The sequence below is a fragment of the Homo sapiens genome, chromosome 5 (genome assembly GCF_000001405.40).
Source record: "Homo sapiens chromosome 5, GRCh38.p14 Primary Assembly".
NCBI classification, from domain to species: Eukaryota; Metazoa; Chordata; class Mammalia; order Primates; family Hominidae; genus Homo; species Homo sapiens.
The window spans coordinates 177,355,460-177,372,981 of record NC_000005.10 but is presented as its reverse complement, the minus strand read 5'-3'; the positions used below and the strand labels follow the sequence as shown (position 1 = coordinate 177,372,981).

General features: G+C 57.1%; 1 protein-coding gene across 5 annotated transcripts, besides 12 other annotated features; it reads right to left on the bottom strand.

Annotated features, from left to right (window-relative positions):
- Positions 1 to 385: 385 nt before the first annotated feature.
- On the bottom strand, positions 386 to 15,058 carry RGS14 (regulator of G protein signaling 14). 5 transcript variants are annotated; one of them, NM_001366617.1, is made up of 15 exons: positions 14,913 to 15,058; positions 6,998 to 7,019; positions 6,627 to 6,805; positions 6,182 to 6,274; positions 5,948 to 6,091; positions 5,425 to 5,568; positions 5,157 to 5,268; positions 4,716 to 4,825; positions 4,062 to 4,265; positions 2,318 to 2,394; positions 1,951 to 2,077; positions 1,736 to 1,817; positions 1,586 to 1,632; positions 1,393 to 1,507; positions 386 to 1,109 (listed from the first exon to the last, which is right to left on the bottom strand). In NM_001366617.1, the coding sequence occupies exons 1-15, from the start codon at positions 14,955 to 14,957 to the stop codon at positions 907 to 909; spliced, it is 1,704 nt and encodes a 567-aa protein (NP_001353546.1). In that variant the 5' UTR covers positions 14,958 to 15,058; the 3' UTR covers positions 386 to 906. The 5 variants fall into 5 exon arrangements, with proteins under 5 accessions (NP_001353546.1, NP_006471.2, XP_047272595.1 ...); NM_006480.5 differs by having other exon boundaries at positions 2,318 to 2,391; XM_047416639.1 differs by lacking the exon at positions 14,913 to 15,058 and adding an exon at positions 9,858 to 9,929.
- Positions 2,799 to 3,650: an enhancer, noted in NCBI's record as "H3K4me1 hESC enhancer chr5:176796333-176797184 (GRCh37/hg19 assembly coordinates)". NCBI's record gives its function as "activates a minimal SCP1, AML or CMV promoter by ChIP-STARR-seq in naive H9 embryonic stem cells {active_cell/tissue: H9 hESC(naive)}" and the evidence as "EXISTENCE:reporter gene assay evidence [ECO:0000049][PMID:30033119]".
- Positions 3,181 to 3,250: an enhancer, noted in NCBI's record as "active region_23713". NCBI's record gives its function as "activates an Ori minimal core promoter by ATAC-STARR-seq in GM12878 lymphoblastoid cells {active_cell/tissue: GM12878}" and the evidence as "EXISTENCE:reporter gene assay evidence [ECO:0000049][PMID:35858748]".
- Positions 4,750 to 5,388: an enhancer, noted in NCBI's record as "H3K27ac-H3K4me1 hESC enhancer chr5:176794595-176795233 (GRCh37/hg19 assembly coordinates)". NCBI's record gives its function as "activates a minimal SCP1, AML or CMV promoter by ChIP-STARR-seq in naive H9 embryonic stem cells {active_cell/tissue: H9 hESC(naive)}" and the evidence as "EXISTENCE:reporter gene assay evidence [ECO:0000049][PMID:30033119]".
- Positions 5,389 to 6,028: an enhancer, noted in NCBI's record as "H3K27ac-H3K4me1 hESC enhancer chr5:176793955-176794594 (GRCh37/hg19 assembly coordinates)". NCBI's record gives its function as "activates a minimal SCP1, AML or CMV promoter by ChIP-STARR-seq in primed H9 embryonic stem cells {active_cell/tissue: H9 hESC(primed)}" and the evidence as "EXISTENCE:reporter gene assay evidence [ECO:0000049][PMID:30033119]".
- Positions 8,002 to 8,051: an enhancer, noted in NCBI's record as "active region_23712". NCBI's record gives its function as "activates an Ori minimal core promoter by ATAC-STARR-seq in GM12878 lymphoblastoid cells {active_cell/tissue: GM12878}" and the evidence as "EXISTENCE:reporter gene assay evidence [ECO:0000049][PMID:35858748]".
- Positions 8,182 to 8,241: an enhancer, noted in NCBI's record as "active region_23711". NCBI's record gives its function as "activates an Ori minimal core promoter by ATAC-STARR-seq in GM12878 lymphoblastoid cells {active_cell/tissue: GM12878}" and the evidence as "EXISTENCE:reporter gene assay evidence [ECO:0000049][PMID:35858748]".
- Positions 8,352 to 8,481: an enhancer, noted in NCBI's record as "active region_23710". NCBI's record gives its function as "activates an Ori minimal core promoter by ATAC-STARR-seq in GM12878 lymphoblastoid cells {active_cell/tissue: GM12878}" and the evidence as "EXISTENCE:reporter gene assay evidence [ECO:0000049][PMID:35858748]".
- Positions 10,933 to 11,082: an enhancer, noted in NCBI's record as "active region_23709". NCBI's record gives its function as "activates an Ori minimal core promoter by ATAC-STARR-seq in GM12878 lymphoblastoid cells {active_cell/tissue: GM12878}" and the evidence as "EXISTENCE:reporter gene assay evidence [ECO:0000049][PMID:35858748]".
- Positions 14,506 to 15,006: an enhancer, noted in NCBI's record as "H3K4me1 hESC enhancer chr5:176784977-176785477 (GRCh37/hg19 assembly coordinates)". NCBI's record gives its function as "activates a minimal SCP1, AML or CMV promoter by ChIP-STARR-seq in primed H9 embryonic stem cells {active_cell/tissue: H9 hESC(primed)}" and the evidence as "EXISTENCE:reporter gene assay evidence [ECO:0000049][PMID:30033119]".
- Positions 14,506 to 15,034: a biological region, named in NCBI's record as "H3K4me1 hESC enhancer GRCh37_chr5:176784977-176785477".
- Positions 14,805 to 15,034: a silencer, noted in NCBI's record as "silent region_16682". NCBI's record gives its function as "represses an Ori minimal core promoter by ATAC-STARR-seq in GM12878 lymphoblastoid cells {active_cell/tissue: GM12878}" and the evidence as "EXISTENCE:reporter gene assay evidence [ECO:0000049][PMID:35858748]".
- Positions 15,135 to 15,184: an enhancer, noted in NCBI's record as "active region_23708". NCBI's record gives its function as "activates an Ori minimal core promoter by ATAC-STARR-seq in GM12878 lymphoblastoid cells {active_cell/tissue: GM12878}" and the evidence as "EXISTENCE:reporter gene assay evidence [ECO:0000049][PMID:35858748]".

Below are 17,522 nucleotides of genomic sequence, written 5' to 3'. Positions count from 1 at the left end.
GACCACAGGCATGCACCACCACACCCAGGTAATTTTTTGTATTTTTGGTAGAGACAGAGTTTTGACATGTTGCCCAGACTGGTCTCAAACTCCTGAGCTCAAGCGATCCACCCCCACCCCCCTTGGTCTCCCAAAGTGCTGGGATTACAGGTGTGAGCCACCTCACCCAGCTCCCATATTCTTAAAAAAAAAAATACTATAAGATATTCACACACCACCCCATATACTGTGCAGTCAGGAAGAGAGGTTCTGAAAACAGGAAGTCAGGAGGCACATCCTGAGGTCCCCAAGAGTTTCCTGGCACTGACCTTGGTGACAGAAGTAGTGTGTTTTGAGGGTGGGGGAAGCCACAGGACAGTCTGGCACACAAGGAAGACAACTCATGGCAGAATAATAATAATTATTATAATAACAGTATCATACATCAAGGACAAACCCAGCTGCCCCAAGCCTACTGCAAAATCTGTATGTACAGTATAGTCTATGTGGGTGGGGTACAGGGCTGCCTGCCTGCACCCTCAAGGCCTTACTCATACCAGCTTCCTGAGGAGGGGCCGGCCCCTCCTCTTGCCCCTGTTGAAGCTTGGCACAGGCTGGGGAGGCTGGCACTGCCAACGCCATCCCTCCATGTTGGGCAAGCCTGTTCCAAGGGGCTGGACTCACCTCCCCCATTGTGGCCTGGCTGCAAGGGATTGGGGGTGAGCTTGTTGAGGGACAAGGCGGTGGCAGCTGTGGGGTGTGTCTCATCTGAGTCCCCTTTCCACCCCTACCGGCTCTTCCTGCGGGCCTGCCCATGGCAGGAAGGGGCCAGGGACACTCATGGCACAGACAGGGCATGCAGAGCGGACCCATGGCATGCTCGGCCCGCCGGGTGCCATGCAGCTGTCCTGGACTGTTGGGTAGCTGTCAGAGGGCTGAGTCGGTGGTGGAGTTCAAGGATCCCCCGATGGGCTGGGCTGCTGATTTGGTCTGTGGTGGGGTCTCCTCGGAGCTGGGCCCTTGGGCGGGCAGCTGCAGAAATTCTGGAAGTACCAGGTCCTCTTTCCTCAGAAGGCCCCTCTGGTCGTGGGCCCCGCTGCTCTGCACCCGGTTCAGCAGCTCCACCAGGCCTGGAGGCAAGCCACAGCATGAGGGTCCCCCCAGCAGACCTGCCTATATGCCAGCCCACGATAGTCCCACTGCCTTACTGTGGCCACTGCCTCCCTGGCCCCAGCACCAATGGCCTGCGGCCCCCTGTTCCAGCCCCTTTGACCCCCCAACCCCCATCCTTCCTGTTCCACGCCCAGTGGCACCCAGCCCCCTGCCTTAGCTCAAGGCTCTCTGATGCCACCCTGAATGGTCCCCAACCCCACTGCCCTAGTCTTTCTGATCCCCAGCTCATCCACCATGTACCTTCGATGTCACAGGTCTGCCGCTTTCCAGTGGCACTACTGGGCACCTTCACCAGAGAACTGGGGGACGCTGGAGGGGGATGGGTGGCCTTATCCTGAGTTCTAGGTGGGCAGCCCTGCGAGAATTTGGGGTCAGAGCCAAAATCGGGAGGGGAGAAGCAGAGGGTGGAAGAGGCCACTCGCCTTTCGCTCACCTGGCTGCGGCAGGGAGATTTGTCACGGGCTTTGGAGATCTTCACACCTGCAGCAGAGAGGGCCACAGTTAGTGTTTGCCTCCCACCTGGACCCCCTTCCTCCTGGGCCACAGCTGTTCCAGATCAAGCCCCGAGGCCAGCGTCCCCTACCTGGAAGAGTGTCCAAAACCAGTCTCTGGGCCGCCACCGAGCTCACTAGCTTCCCCAGATCCAGAGGCTGTTTCTCGCCTGGCTGTGGGGAGAGGTCAGCAGCCCGCGGTACAGGCCTCCGCCCGGCCCCGGCCCCGGCCCCGGCCCCGGCCCCGGCCCCGGCCCCGGCCCCGGCCCGGCCCCGCCCCGCCCCGCCCCGCGGCCCGGAAGCTCACCCGGTGCAGCACCACCTCTAGCGGGCTCAAGCCGTGCTTCTCCAGAATGGGCTGCAGCGCCTCCTGCAGCCGCTTGGTGGGCTTGGCTGAGATTCGTACCACGCGCTCCAGCGCCGTCAGCTCCAGCCTGCGAGGAACCCTCGGGCAGCAGAGGGCCGGAGGGCCGGCCCCCCGCCAAACCCTTCCCAGGACAAACGCGAGGGGGTGGAGCTTGAACTGCAGAAGGTGGGACTGGCTTGTAGGGGGCGGGGTTTGTCCCAGGGGCGGGGCTAGCACGAGGGGCGGGGCCTGGGGAGCCAGGTAGCTAGAACAGGGCCTGAAGGGAGCGTCAGGACCTGGGACCCAGACTTGGGGGCAGGACACTCACTCGAAGGTGATCCTGTTTTCCAGCCGCACTTCCTGATCCGCCAGCACGGTGCAGTCCTGATCCAGGACCAGGGCCTTCTGTGGATGCCAGGCAGGGTCTAAGAGTCCCTCCCCCAACCCCCAGCCATCCCTGTGGGTCTGAGAACAACTTCACGCCCTCCCATGGCCACCACTGGGCTTCCTAGAGGAAGGGATGGAGGGTGGAAGAGCTGTAGGGGAGCAAATGGGTTAAGGTACCAAGCTGGAGTCCAAGCCCAGGAAAGCCAAGGCCAGGGAGAAAAGTGGCAAGAATGCTGGACATTCTTGGGAAAGGACAGAAATTACGAGAAACGTAGCTGCTGGCATGAAATGATAAGGGGCAGGCCTAGATCCGGGATCTCTGGCCTACTCTTTCTGTGCCAGGACAGGCTCTGCCTCCAGGACAGCTGTCTCGTGTCCCTCAGGTGTGTGAAATCCGACCAGACCAGCTGGAAGCATTTCCTCCCTCACCACCCACCTTTGACCAACCACCCTGGCCTGGTCCCATTTTTGACATTTGTCCACTTCTCTCCATTCCCCGCTACTAAGGACACTTCTTGTTTCCTCATTCAAAAAGGGCCCACCCTCAAAACTGCTGTGAAACCAGAGGATGTGAAGCATCTGGCACAATGCCTGGCACACAGTAGGTACATAAACAGTAACTCTCGTGATGACCACCTTCAGAGGCCCCACTGCCTGCTCCAGCCTGATGTGGGGGTTGGGGGCAGCATCTCCCAGGCAGTAGGCTTATGCTGTGCTGCAGGAGCAGGTGGAGTGTGGGTGAGGAAGTTATATTTAGCATGTATGAAAGCCCATCTGGGCTGCTGGCAGCCGCCCTAGCGGCCTGAGAAGAGTGGGCAAAATGCCTCCCACTACTGCCCTCGCACCCCTGCACTCCAGGCCCCTGAACATGCCCCGCAAGTACCCACCTGCAGGCCTTTGCCTAAGCTGTTCCCTCTGCCTGGAATATCCTCCCCCACAGCTCTGCCCATCCACATCTACTGCTGCTTCTTCCATGAAGCCTTCCGGACACCAGCCAGAAATGCCTACCCTCTCCCAAGAGACCTTCTCTGGAGTTTTCACTCTTCCTCCTCCCTGATCACTCCCTGCTTGGCTTACTTTCAGCCTGTGGGCCAGGAGGACAGCCCCAGATCTAGGTTCCTCTCCCCCACACACCTGGCAAGGCCTTAGGACTTGTCTACTAGGTAAATGAAATCCCGATGGCCCCCTGGAAGGTAGCATTCTTCCTTGAGATTCCCCTGACTGAATGGTTTCCTTTAAAGCCAGTTTTCCCCTAGGTCTTCTTTAAAGTTTAAGCTAGTTTGCACCTAAAGGAAAAAGTTCATTGGTTAGGTGCACTTGGGTGCCCCTAGAGGCTAAGGAGGTGAGGGCACCCCACGGATGGCCATTTCCAGGATGGGTCTGTGGGGATGGGAGTCTGGACTCTGGGAATGATGAGGGGCAAACCCCAGCTCCAACAGTGGTTCTCTCCAGTTTTACCTCCCTAAGGTCACCACAATAGGATGATGGATGAAGGTGGAAACCTGGAAGGACATGAGGTGGGGGGTGGGTGGATGTCTGAGTGAGTGAAAGTTGGTGCTGAGGGTGCTTTGGAGTTGGGTTTAGAACTTGAATTGGGGTTGGAGCCATGACTGAGCAGAGACAGAAATGGAGTTGGGGTCAGGATCAGGAAGGAGGTTAGAGTTGGAGCCAGGTCACGTTCCCACCTGTTCATTGCCCACCAGGTAGACCTTGATGTCAGGTAGAGAGAGGCCTCGTTTCTCACAGATCCCTGCCAGCATGTCTCGGATGGTGAGGCCAGGTCTGGCCAGGGCCAAGGAGGCTGTGCCATCGGGCAGGTACACACAGCAGTACTTCCCTGGCCGGCTTTCACTTTCACCCTCCGTGCTCCCAAGGCTCTTCCGGTGGCTCTGATTCATGGCAGGAGTGGGGGAGATTATGTGTACACATGCAAGGGCATGCACACAGGTACACAGAGATAGGTAAGCTTGCTGGGGCTCAAGCATGCACACGCACTCCCAAGGCAGGCAAAGATACGTCCTCCTGCAGGAACACATGTATGCACACCCAGGCATATGGGCACCTAGAGACGGGTCCACCCGCTGATTCCCACACACGTGCTGTGTATACACACCTGGGTGCTGCACATGTGCACACATTTGCCAACTGAGGATGTGTACCCATGACATATATGGGGACCAATGTAGTGAGACAAGTAAGGAGGCTGAAGGGTTGGCTACGCAGAGCAAGCTGGGAGACGCAGTAAGGACAGCAACTTGGAATGAGGGCCACCACGTAAATGGGCCTGAGTAGTGACTCTAGCCCATAGAGCATCTTGTCTTCCCCAACAGTCGGCTCACCTCAGATTTGCTGCTGACGAAGGCTAGGAAGCCAAGGTCCAGGCTGGCGGAGGAGTTGAGGGAGCCCTGAGACTCTCGGCGCAAGGCGGCGTTTGCAGTCCCGCCCAGCTCTAGTGAAGAGGGAGCGATGAACGCGAACAGCCCCCCGCCCTCACCCATCCTCTGCGGAAGCCTGTTCCCCACTGGTGGGCCTTGTTTGGAGCCATCCTGCAGGGGCCCAGGTGTAAATCCCTGGGAGCGACACCACCGTTGGAGATTTCCAAACGTCTGAGGTCTAGCCCAAGACCCGAACCACCCAGGGGAGTGTGGTGGTCACTGGGACCTGGGTTTCAATTTTCACAGACTTACAGACTGTGGGCCACGTAGGAGGAAGGGGGCACTCCCCAAATTTAACCAAACTCCCGCCTTCCCCACATCTCTGTTGCTCGCTCCTGCCCTCACCCCGGCGGAAGGACTTGCGGAGAGGGCGGCCCCCAGGACCCTCAACGGGTGGCAGCTGCCCCAACTCCTCCACACCCAGCGGCAGCGACTTCCCGGGCTTCAGCTTCGGCTTCTGTGGGTACAGGGGAGGCGCTGGCACCGGGCTGGGCCCCAGCCCGCATGCAGACCGTGGGCACAGACTCGCAGATCTGCACCCGGAGGCGTCCCCTCTTGCACGCGGTCCGCAGGACCCCCTGCCTCGCCCAGTCCCTCGCCCAGTCCCACGCACCTTCCTCGTGGCGTCAGGGCTGCCGAGGCGCGAGGAGCCAGGTTCCCGCAGAGGGCGTCCCTCGGCTTCGGCTAGCAGGCACTCGCGGTACAGCGGGGACTTGACGAAGCGCGCATAGCTGTCGAACTTCATCAAGTTGAAGATCTGCGGGGCGACCCCGGAACAGGTGAGCCGGGGCTGGGGTGGGGGCGCTGGGCTGCCTGCACCCAGGCCGGGTCCTTGGGGCTGGCCCCGCCCCAAACCTAGGGCTGGATTTCCCAAGCCCCGCCCCGACCTCAGTTCCTATACCCACCCCCGGGGTCCAAGCCCGCCCCGAGCTCAGCTAGGCTCCGCCTCTAACTGTCCTTCCCCGTGCCTCTGATACCGCCCTCTGAGCTCCGCCCTGCCTGCCCCGGCATTTGGCTCTGTCTCCGCCTCCAAATTTGCCCCCTCCGCTTTGTAGTTCAGACTCCCCGCCAGGGTCCGACCCCGCCCCTGCTCCTTTTGTCTCCCTTTCAAGGCCAATCCCCCCAGGATCGCCCACCTGAAGCTGCTGTGCCCGAAACATGTCCGGCCGGGGCTCGGCCAGCACCTCCTCGCCAAGCCAGGCCTGACGGTCGATGTTCACTGGGCTCAGCGCCTGGCTGGACAGGAACTCCTGGTAGATGTTGCGGGCCTCCTGAGCTAGCTGAAGGAGGAGGGACAGGAGGAGTTGGTCAGGGAGCGTGGCCCAGTTCCCCTCTCCCCAGCCCTCGGCCCCAGCTCCCCCTTCCCCCACCTGCTGGGTATCGCTGGCCGGGATCTGCTGGAAGCGCTCGCAGGCCTTCCAGAAAGTCACGTTTTCCGCGCTGAACTCCTTCTTCAGGAACTCCTGGGAGGGGAAGGAGGGGGAGGCAGGCAGAGACTCAGAGACACAGAGACCAAACTGGGGGATGTGATCAAAAAGATTGGGACAGAGACAGGGCCAAGAGACCAAGCCAGACAGACAGGGCCAGACAGACAGACGGAGCCAGACCGATCTGAAGACAGGGAGAGAAAATGAGAGGCAGAGACAAGGACAGGGAGAAGGAAGAAAAGTTCCCAGCTGGGAGAAGAGGAAGAGGGTGCTGCAGGAAGGCTAGATGAGGAAGCTGACAGAGGACCCCACTCTGGCCAGCCTGAAGCTCCATCCACGCCCTGCCCTCTCCCGTGTCCCCCCTTCCCTTTCCCTACCCCAGGCTTACAGTGAAGTAAGCCAGGCCCAGCGGGTCCTGCAACAGCCGCTCGAAGGACAGGGCCCAGCTGGCCACAGGCTGCTCCTCGGTTGGGAAGGGGCTGCTGGGACCACTGGGGAGGCTGTGGATGCTGAGAGAGCTGCCGCGGCCCTCGCCCTGGCCCTGGGGCCCCGTCGTGCTGCTCAGCTCTGCAGGGGGATGGACAAGTTGGGGTGAGCCTTGCTGCCTTCCCCAGCCCCTGGCACAACCCACCCTCCCCCATGCATCCACTCTGCAGCCATGTTCCCTGGAAAGATAGCAGGTGGCAGGGGTGTCCCCACCCATCTCCACCTCCCTCCTCCCTCCCACTCAGCCAGTTCTCCACACATTCTGTCACTTACCTCCATCTGACACAGCCAGAACCTATAAGAGACCCAACAGAGAAAGTCAGAAGAGCCCAGTGAGGATTCCCAGGGGACAGTTCTGGGCCCGACTCCCAGGAGCTGGAACTGCGTTCTCCTCCACCTGGGCATCCCCGGCCAGGTTCTACTTGGTCAGGGTTTTCCTCAGTCTGCCCCTGGCTCCCCTTCCATCCTGTGCCAACCACTAAGTACTGGGACTTATGGCAGGTACCTTCCAGCAGCCCCTGGTTCCCTCCTCCCCCAGCCCCTGCTGGGTGAGCCAGGTGTGCATAGCATGGTGGGTAGGAACAGACTTTAGTCTCTGCCACTTACTAGCTGTGTAACTTTGGGCAAGTTAGTTAACTTGTTTGCCTCCATCTGTAATCTGTAAATAGGAGATAATGCCTATTTACAAATGGAGGCAAACCATTTGCTTCCATCTTGATGTAAAGATCAAGTCAGTTTAATATATTCACAGCATTGGCTGGACACGGTGGCTCACGCCTGTAATCCCAGCACTTTGGGAGGCCGAGATGGGTGGATCACCTGAGGTCAGGAGTTCGAGACCAGCCTGGCCAACATGGTGAAACCCAGTCTCTACTAAAAATACAAAAAAAAAAAAAAATTAGCTGGATGTGGTTGTGGATGCCTGTAATCCCAGCTACTCGGGAGGCTGAGGCAGGAGAATCGCTTGAACCCAGGAGGCAGAGGTTGCAGTGAGCTGAGATTGTGGCATTGCCCTCCAGCCCGGGTGACAAGAGCAAAGCTCCGTCTCAATAAAAGAAAATCAAATAAAAATATATCCACAGCATCTAGAACATGGGCCAGCATGTGATATGGGCTGTATAAACATGTGCTGTCTTTGAGGAAGGAGAGGTGTCTCTGCAGCCAGTGATCTTACTATCGCACGTGTTGCCTATTGGGCCCAGGGTCCCATTACCACCGTGGGAGGGCACAAGATGCTGGTCTATAGTACAGAGCAGTGGTTCTCAAACTTCAGTGCAGAGTGGGAGGACCCCACCTCTGGAGATTCAGGTTCAGTAGGTCCAAGATGGGGCCTGAGGCTGTCCATTTCTACCAAGCTCCCAGGCGATGCTGATGCTGCTGGTTCAGGGACTACTCTGTGAGTAGTACTGCTGCAGTAACTAACTCCATCCTTGCCCCCAGTGCACAACTCTGGTTTCTCTGGGAATCCCAATCATTAGTGAAACAGAAAAACTCTCCTCTCAAAATGACTCTTGCGGTGGTTTCTCTTGTTTCTCTTTTTACCTTCCTAGCAGCTCCTCCAGCTTCCCCACTATCTCCCACTCATGCAATGTGGCCTCAACCCCTCTCTGGCTCTGTCCTGGGCACTTTGTCCCATCCACAGATCCACAGCTCCAGACACACATAACCAACTTCCTGGTAACGGCTCCAGCGCCTATCACCCCTGACTTGGGGTTAGAGGGCAGGACAGAGGCTCAGGGTGTGCGCGAGGAGGGCAGGGCCAGGCAGCCCAGCGGAGGGGGGCGAGTCCCCCCTCAAATGTCCCACAAGCCCTCAAGCTCCCAAATGGAAGTCCCAAATGGAAGCTCCCTCTGCCTCCACCAAAACACAGTACCAAACCAGCTTCCCTGCCCCCATCTTTCTTCCCATCACCCGGGCTTCCAACATCAGGGCTTGAGTCATCCCCAGTTCCTACTTCCCGCTTACCTCCTACACTTTCACCATGCCCTGTCACAGAAGTTCCTACCACCAGCCCCTTATTCCCATCCCAACTGGAAACAGGCCTGCAAACATCTCCACCCCGGAAAGCCCCCCAACCCCCACCCTCCTGAATGGAACCTTCCTCTCTGTTTCCTACTCCCACCCTGAGAGTATTCAGGTCACAGGGCGGCCATCTGTGGGCCAGATCCGGTCTGCAGATATGTGGGAAATTACTATTACCTTGGCCCTCTCAGGTTTTATTATGATGATTATTATTTTTATTTAAAGGTATTTTCCACATTTAAAAAGCAAGAGATTTTAAATTCCACTTGCTCCGTGAGACTGTAATGCTCCAGCTCCTTCCCAGCAGGACAACCTTGTCCGGGATTGAGCAGCCACCACCTTCCCCAAAAGGGCTTACACTCCTCTCAGAGGCCTCTGGGGCCAGTTTAATGCATTTATGTTACTTGTGGAGGCAGTGGGAGGCAGGCTCAAATTTGGGAGGTCAAATTTGTGCTGTGTGACTTTGGACGAGGTACTTAACCTCTCTGTGCCTCAGTTTTTTCCTCTCTAAAAATGGAGCAAATAATGGTCCTGACTTCGAAGGATTGGTGCGATTAAATGAGTGAAATATATATAAAGAACTCAGAACACTATCGGGCGTGTAGTAAATGTTCAAGGAACGTTACTATTAATGTCGTTCTTGTGTCAGTGTTGATGCCTGACCCCGCTACACATTCGAGTTTGCCACTCCCGCCATAGAAGGAAAGAGCACAGGTGTTGGGGGCGGGGGGCGTCTCTCAGATCCAGATTCAAACCCCAGCCCTGACTTTTTCCAGTTTTACAACTTCGGGCTCCTCCCTGAGCTTCGCTTCCCATCTGGAGCCCGGGAATAAGAAGTTGCAGTGGAGGGCAGCGAGTTAGTGCAGAGCGCGCTGGGCGGGGCGTCGGGCCCAGCGCGCCCCGCCCCCGTCTCCGGCCCCGCCCCTCCTGGCCCTGCTCTCGTGCTCCCCGCTCTGTCCTCCCCGCAGAGTCAAATCCCCCAACGAAAGTCGGTGCTTCCCACGGCGACAGGAGAAAGTCCCCACTCCGAGGGCGGCAGAGGGCTGCGAGGAGGGACGGGACGAAGCCTTTCCCTGCGCGGCCGCAAGGTTCCTCTGCAGCCTGCACCTACCTGCCCGCGCCCGGGCTCCTCCTCCCCCGGCTGCACCGCCACGGTGTTCCCAGCCTCGGAGACGCAGTCATCGCCCTCCCCCAGATCCCCGAGAATCACCCGGACTCGCCCCCCTCCGCTGGGCTGCTTGGCCCTGCCCTCCTCGCGCACACCCTGAGCCTCTGTCCTGCCCTCTAACCCCGAGTCAGGGGTGATAGGCGCTGGAGCTGGCGCCAGCCAGCACTTCAATTTTGTTTGGCCCTCACAGGTTTATTTTCCACGTTCTGCTTAACTGAATGTCGTTAAGTGGGGCTGCCTGCTAGATCCTCCCCAGGCCCCACCCCTCCCCACGGTGCCAACCCGGGCCCTTTCCCTGCCCCCGGAGGCACGTTGCGGTTGCCAGGTTACGGCTAAAACCCTACCTGGGCCTGACTAATGAACCCCCTTCAGCCTCACCCATTTTCCTCCCCCTCACCTCCACCCTACACTTCACCGAACTTTTCTATTTTCCCCACACCCCTGCTTCCGGCTTTGCCATTGCCAGTGCCTGGGTATCTGCTCCTGCTCTTCGCTTGGAATTGCTCCCCGATCTCTGCCCGTTGACATTAGTCGTCCCCAAACACCAGGCCCCTTGAATGCCCCTTCCCACCACGTGCTTATCCACCCATGTCCCGGCCTCTCTCCCTGCCAGTCTGGTCACCCCTGGAGTGCTGGCCTGGTTGGTGGGAGGGGTCAGATCTGAACTCCCTCCTCAAGAAGCACCGTCTTTGCCTCGTGCTCCCAAGCAGCCATCAGGACCCTGGCCTTGGCACCCCTTCACTAGGGACTCTCAGCCCCTGAATGCCACCTGTAGCTCTCCATCCTGAGCCTCTCTTGCCCTGACAGTTGTTGATAGCATAGCTGGAGCTGAAATTGAGTAGGGACAGAAATCTGGAGATGGGTGGGAGTGGGGGTGGAATCCAATTCCAGCTCTGCTATTCGGGAACAAGTAACTTCTCTGAGCTTCAGTTTTCCCTGGGTAGCATGGGGCTCAGCACTCCCAATTTCCTGAGGCTGCTGTGAAGCTTGAATGAGGCCCCATGAGTGAAAGCACCAGGCATGCCACAATCAGAGCAGCACCCCACAGCGGAGTGAGGTGCAGGTGTGCAGGGGCCCTGCAGGGGCTCTGGCCTGCCCTGGCTGCCACTGCAGGGCCTGGGGAAGTTGTGTTGAGCAGGGCTGGCCTCCCCTGCTTCAGCCTGCTTGAGAAGAAGTGGTGAGTGAATGGAGAAAAAGGGGAAGAAAGGGCAAGGAAGGGTGTGGTGGCCAGTGACACACGGACCCAGGCTTGGACCTCGGCCGGTCATATTTTTTTCTTAGGAATTTGGTCCTGGGGGAGCTGCTGGCACCTGAAAATGCTAAGGTGAGAGTAAGGCCCCAATTTCCTGAGCTTTGACTGTGTGGCAGGCACCCTCTGGCAGCACACATTCATGTCCTCCCTCCATCTTTACGGGTATCTTGTGTGGCAGGTATTATTACCCCCATTTTACAGATGAGGAAACTGAGGCCCAAAGAAGCCATGCAGCTGAGATGTGGCAGAACTGAGATTAGAACTCAAGTTTGCCTGATTCTGGAGCCTGAGGCCTCCCCACCCTCTACCCAAGCTGACTCCCTTTGTGGACCAAGGAAGCTTGGAGGCCCAGGGCCTCAGCCCTTGGGGCACAGGTGGGCAAGTCTAATCTGGCATGACCTGCTCAGGGGCTCCTCTTGAACTGTGCCCTCTAGAGGGATCAGACCTTGAAGGAGGGCCAATTTTCTGAGCATCTTCTATGCTGGGCACCCTCTACCATCCTCTTGAGGATTTCATCCTAGCTTGAGGGGCTGCAAGACCCTGTCTGGAGATGTCCACACAGAATCTGGGTGTCTGGTCCCTTCAACTTGAACCAGCCTGTGGAGATGACCCCTGGCCTTGCCCCTGTATAAGGCCACCCTGAACTCGAGTGCCCTGAGCTGGACGCGAGGGACAAAGAGAGAGCTGCATGGGCTTTGCCTTGCAGGTCTTCCTGCCAGGAGGGGAAGACTAACTAGGCCCTCTGACAGGACAGGACAGGCTAACTGCCCCTCCAGGCTTAACTCTCAGCCTCCCCTAGGGCCCTGTCCCTGTGTTTGCCCACAGCCAGGCCTATGCCGTGCCCTCCCTCCTCCAGCTTGCAGACCCTTTAGGGACCGTCTCCTACAACACGGTGCATGGAGCTAGTGGAGAGTCTTGCTCTGTCGCCAGGCTGGAGTGCAGTAGCACGAACTCGGCTCACTGCAACCTCTGCCTCCCAGGTTCAAGCAATTCTCCTGCCTTAGCCTCCCAAGTAGCTGGGACTACAGGCACATACCACCACGCCCAGCTAATTTTTTGTATCTTTAGTAGAGAAGGGGTTTCACCATATTGGCCAGGATGGTCTCGATCTCTTGGCCTCATGATCTGCCCGCCTCGGCCTCCTAAAGTGCTGGGATTAGAGGCGTGAGCAACTGTGCCTGCCTCCTCTCTCCCTCCTTCCCTCCCTCCCTCCCTTCCTTCCATCTTTTTTTTTTTTTTTTTTTTTTTTAATATAGGATCTTGCTCTTTCACCCAGACTGCAGTGCAGTCTGAGTGTGATCACAGCTCACTGCAGCCTTTACCTCCTGGGGTCAAACGATCCTCCCACCTCAGTTTCCCAGTAGCTGGGACTACAGGTGCATACCACCATGCCCAGCTAATTAAAAAGAAGATGGGTCCTCACTATGTTGCCCAGGCTGGTCTCAAACTCCTGGGCTCAAGCGATCCTCCTGCATTGGCCTTCCAAAGTGCTGGGATTCCAGGCTTGAGCCACTGCCTGGTATTTTCACCTGTGTCTTTTGTGCCTTGCCAGACTAGGGGGCAGGGACTAGGGCTGATGGGCCTGGGTCGGGAGTGTCTAGGATAGGGGCAGTGGCAGCACCAAGCAGGCACTAAGGAGGGGTTGTTGAATGAATGAGTGAATAAGTACATGAACAAATGAAAAGGTAAAGAGGCTGTGTGAAGACATCCCTAGGAAGGGGGCTGGGAGATGTCTCCAAGTGACAGGTTTCCTTGCAACTGCCTGACAAGCTGAATGGCAGAGAGGCAAGGCTGACAACTGAAGCTTCCACAGCAGGGAATGATGGTGGTGAGAGGAGAGGTAGGGGAGGACTGGGGCCAGGCAGTTCTGGGGGTTCAGATGCTGACGCTCTACTCTCTGGCTGACCTCGGCACAGCATTTACTTCTCTGAGCCTCCCTTGGGAGGTAACTCATGGAGGGACCAGACATACCTGTCCCCCAGGCGCCCCTCCATCCACATCCGCACCTCAGATCCCAGTGCCTGTCTGGCCCTCCCTGCCCTAGCTGTGCAGGGCCACGGGAAGCTACTCAGTGACCAGCAGGCAGCCAATCTGTGACCCTCGGGATTCTAAGAGGTGGCACAGAGAGTTTGGAACAGGCCCAGGAAGGGCAAAGATAAACCTGTGTGTGACAGTTCTGAGAGGAGCCGGGGCGTCTGTGGGCTTGATGGAACTGGGGGCAGACCTTGGGGCACCCTCCCTGCTCTAGGTGACTTTTGAGTAGAGAAGTCACAGGCTGACACAGAAGGGGCAGGGGCTGGGTCTGTCTCTGGGCCCCCTCTGCTGCCCTGTAGTTCTAGGCACTGTCCCAGAAGCATCAATCCAGTTGCCCTCCCAGGGTGGGCCTGGGGTTAGCCTCCTTGGCTTCCTGGCCCGGTCGCCTAGGCAAGGACGAGCGAAGTGTCATGCCTGTGACATGGGAATGCAAGGGAGGTGGGTTTTCTTTTTGCACTTTCGTTGTGGGGTCGGTACTGCAGACAGTGAGATGGGGGGCTGAGCTGGCTTTGAAGGGTGGCCTCTCTCCCAGCCGGCCAGCCCGGGGCTGGGCAGGAAAGAGATGCTGGAAGAAGAAGAGGTAGAGGCAGGTTTTGGGAACTAAGGGGCAGGAGTGGTGATGGGGCTGCCTCAGCTTCTTGGTGAGGCAGGAGATCTTTGAATTGGGGCTGAAAATGTAGGGGGCACTGGGCTGACAATTATGCAGCCCCCACAATGGGTCAAAGGCCTCATATGCATTATTTCACTCTATCATCTCAACAAGCCTTGAAATTCATTCCAACCTCCTCATTTTAGGGATGAGGAAACTGAGAGCTGGCGAGGACCCTCCCTCCAGTAAGAGAGAATAGAACCAGGACTGGAACCCAGGTCTCTATAGAGCCACTGGCTTTGGCCCGTGATACTAGGCTGGGGCCTGGTGGTGGGCCAGGACACTGGCCTTCCTGAGGTTGTTAAGAGGGACTCTTCCAAGTGAGGGGGGAACCCTAGGGAGAGAAGGGAGGCCCAGCACAGCTTGCCCCATCTGCTGAATGAATGAGAAGAGCCAGATCCTCTGAGGGCAGCTCTGATCTGGGGCTAAGCAGCCAGGGAGAGGGTTAAGGGGTGGGGCAGCTGCAGCCAGGGGGATCTTAGTGCTCAGCCCTTCCTGGAAGCTCAGGAATAGAACAGGCAGAAGCTGCATCAACCTAGTCTGACCCTGCTGCCCCATCCCGGGCTGCCCAAACAATGCTAGTTCTGGCAGGAAGCCTCTGGAGTAGCTCCGGCTGGAGGACACCGACCCAGCAAGAGCTGCCACTAACATGACCTTGGGCACCTGGAGCAGGGGGTGAGGAGGGGAGGACTCAGGCTGAGCGGGATGTAGGGGCTTGAGCCACTGTGGGGATGGGCAGGGGGCAAGGAGCACATCGAGTGTCCCTGAGACCCTGGGATGCAGCCCCAGATGCAGCAGGTGAGGGAGTGGTGGGGGCTGGACCAGAAGCCTGTGCCCGCTCTGGCCTCACTGCCAGGGTTGTACCAGGCTCCCGGCTGGGCCATCTGGAAGGGTCTAGGGGTGAGAGCACCAGGTCCTACCACCTGCTGCTGTCTGTACCCAACTTCTCTCGCCTGCTGGCAGCCCGTGGGCTCTTGCCTGGCCCTGCCGGGTGTGCCTCCTGGGCTCCACCCTGGGTGTGCCCACCCCCTCCTCGTGGCCCTGGCCCGGAGCCCACACTCACCATGCGCCCGTTGGGGACGCCCAGGTGCTTGGGCTTCCCTGGCATGCCGCTGCCGATCAGGGGTCCCCGCCGCGGGGGCTGCCCACCATGGGGACTGTGGGCAGCGCCGGCCAGAGCTTGCACGGTGGCGGGCAGGCAGTGGAGAGAGCCTGACTCGGCTCCTGCGGGCCCTCACATCCTGAAACACCGCTCACTACCTCTTTTCTCTGCCACAGGAAGTGTCTCTATAGAAACCAAACCACAGAAAGAAGCAAGGTCTAAGAGAGCGAACGCCTCTTCCTACACACACACGCGCACACACACACACGTTCACGCACACACACGCCACCAACACACTCCTGGCAGCATCCCGCACGGGCACCAACACAAGGCAGAGGCTTCCGTGTGCCCAGCAAGGAGCCCAGCCTGGTCTGGCCAGGACCAGGGAGCTCTAAGTTCATGCCTGGGCTCACAGCACACGAGTAAACATACCTAGGCACCTTTGTCCACCCTGGGGGCGTTCCTGTGGACATGCACACACGTGCACTGGGACCTGTGTATCCACACGTGTACTTTACTCGGCACACACTTACCTCATACCTACTGTGTGCCAGACAAACATGTGCTCAGTACCCCTCTCCCCGGCAGCTGCACATATGCAGGGTACCTCTAGCCCCAGACACCTACAGGCTCCTTCCATGCATGTGGCCAGGTGTGCAGACAGATGGATAACTTGCCCGCATGGCTGTGCACACACAGACATTCAGGTATGCGTGTCATAAACACATGGGCTCTCCCTTACAAGGGGGACTTGGGTGTATAGTCATGTGCATGCACAGTCCCCTGAAGAGGTGCATGTGACAGGCACACCTGAACATAGGACATATGTATTCCGACACTCCAGTGACATATGTGTAAGCAGATATGATGCACACGCTCACCTACCTAGGTAGGGGACTGGATCACCTATATCTGTGGCCAAAGACTTGAGCGCATTCATACTCACTCAGAAATCCTGCCTTAGTCAACTCAGGCTGCTATAGCAAAAATACCATAGACCAGGTGGGTTAAACAACAAATAAGTATTTCTCACACTTCTGGAGGCTGAGATGTCCAAGGGCAAGCCGCTGGCACATCTGGTATCTAGAGAGGGCCCTCTTCCTGGTTTGCAGACAGCTGTCTTTTTGCCATGCCCTCACGATAGCAAGTGGAGATAAAGGAAGCCAGCTCCCTCCTGTCTCTTTTTATAAGGGCACTAATTCCTAATCCCACCCTAAGGGGTTCTCTTTCATGACCCAATTACCTCTCAAAGGCCCTGTCTCCAAATAACACCTTGCAGGTTAGTGTTTCAACGTATGAATTTTGGGGGATATAAACTTAATTTGATAGCATGTAGTGTTGGCTGAAGGGTGGGCATCCTGCCCTCGGCCCTGACCTGGCCCCAGATGAACTCCAGTTTTAAAAATTTTAGCTAGGGTCCTTGGTTTGCCTCTTTCTCACACATGCGTGTCCCCACTGCAAGGACTTATATTTTCTTCTAAGCGTGGGCTCACTAAGACCCCTCAACTTGCCCACCATTCTGATTTGAGCTCCTCTTTCTCTCTTTTTCTTTCTTTTCTTTTCTTTACTTTTTTTTTTTTTTTTTTGAGACAGAGTCCTGCTCTGTTACTCACCCAGGCTGGAGTGTAGTGGCAGGATCTAGGCTCACTGCAGCCCTGACCTCCTGGGCTCAAGCAATCCTCCCACCTCAGCCTTCCAAGTAGCTGGGACCACAGGTGCATGTCAACGTGACTGTGTAATTTTTTTTTTTGTAGAGATGTCTCCTATGTTGCCCAGACTGGTCTCAAACTCCTGGGCTCAAGCAATCCACCCACCTTAGCCTCCCAAAGTGCTGGGATTACAAGTGTGAGCCATCGTGTCCAGCCTCAGCTAGTCTTTCTGCAGGGACAAGGTGATAGCCACTTCTCCATATTCTACCCTCTGCCCCACTGCCCCTTCTAGGGCTGTGACCTGAACTCTTCAGTGGCAGAAACTGAATAGCTCTTCACCACAAATTCATGTCCTTTTTTCCTGGGCACGTGGCTAACTTTACTTTCCCAGGTTCCCTTGCAGTCAGATGTGGACATGTGACCACTTCTTGCCAATTGAAAATGTGTGGGATGACATGTGTCATTTTTGAGCCAAGGCTTTGAAGAAGTAAGTGTGTGCCCTGCACCCTCCCTCTTTCTCCTTCAGCTGGATGGATAGAGAAGATGAGGAGGCCCAGGGGATTGTGGAACCACAAGAAGGAAAAAGCAGGGTCTGTGTATCAGTGCCTGAAGGCAAGCCACCCATCAACCTGGAAACCAGCTTCAGACCATTATGTAAGTGGGAAGTAAAATTTTTTGAGCCTCCTGACAGATGCACAAACCTTGTAAAAATAGTTAAAAAAAAAAGAAACATCAAAAAAATTTTCAGGTCATTATATACATTAGGGCCTATTTGTTATAGCAGCTAGCACTGCCCTAGTTAACACACTTCTTCTCCCAGCACTGCCTCACCTCTCTCCAGACACCTTGCTTCAGGCCACACAGACAGAGAGATTCAGTCAGACTTGATGTGTGAAAGGGGTTACGGTGGAGGTTGCTTTTG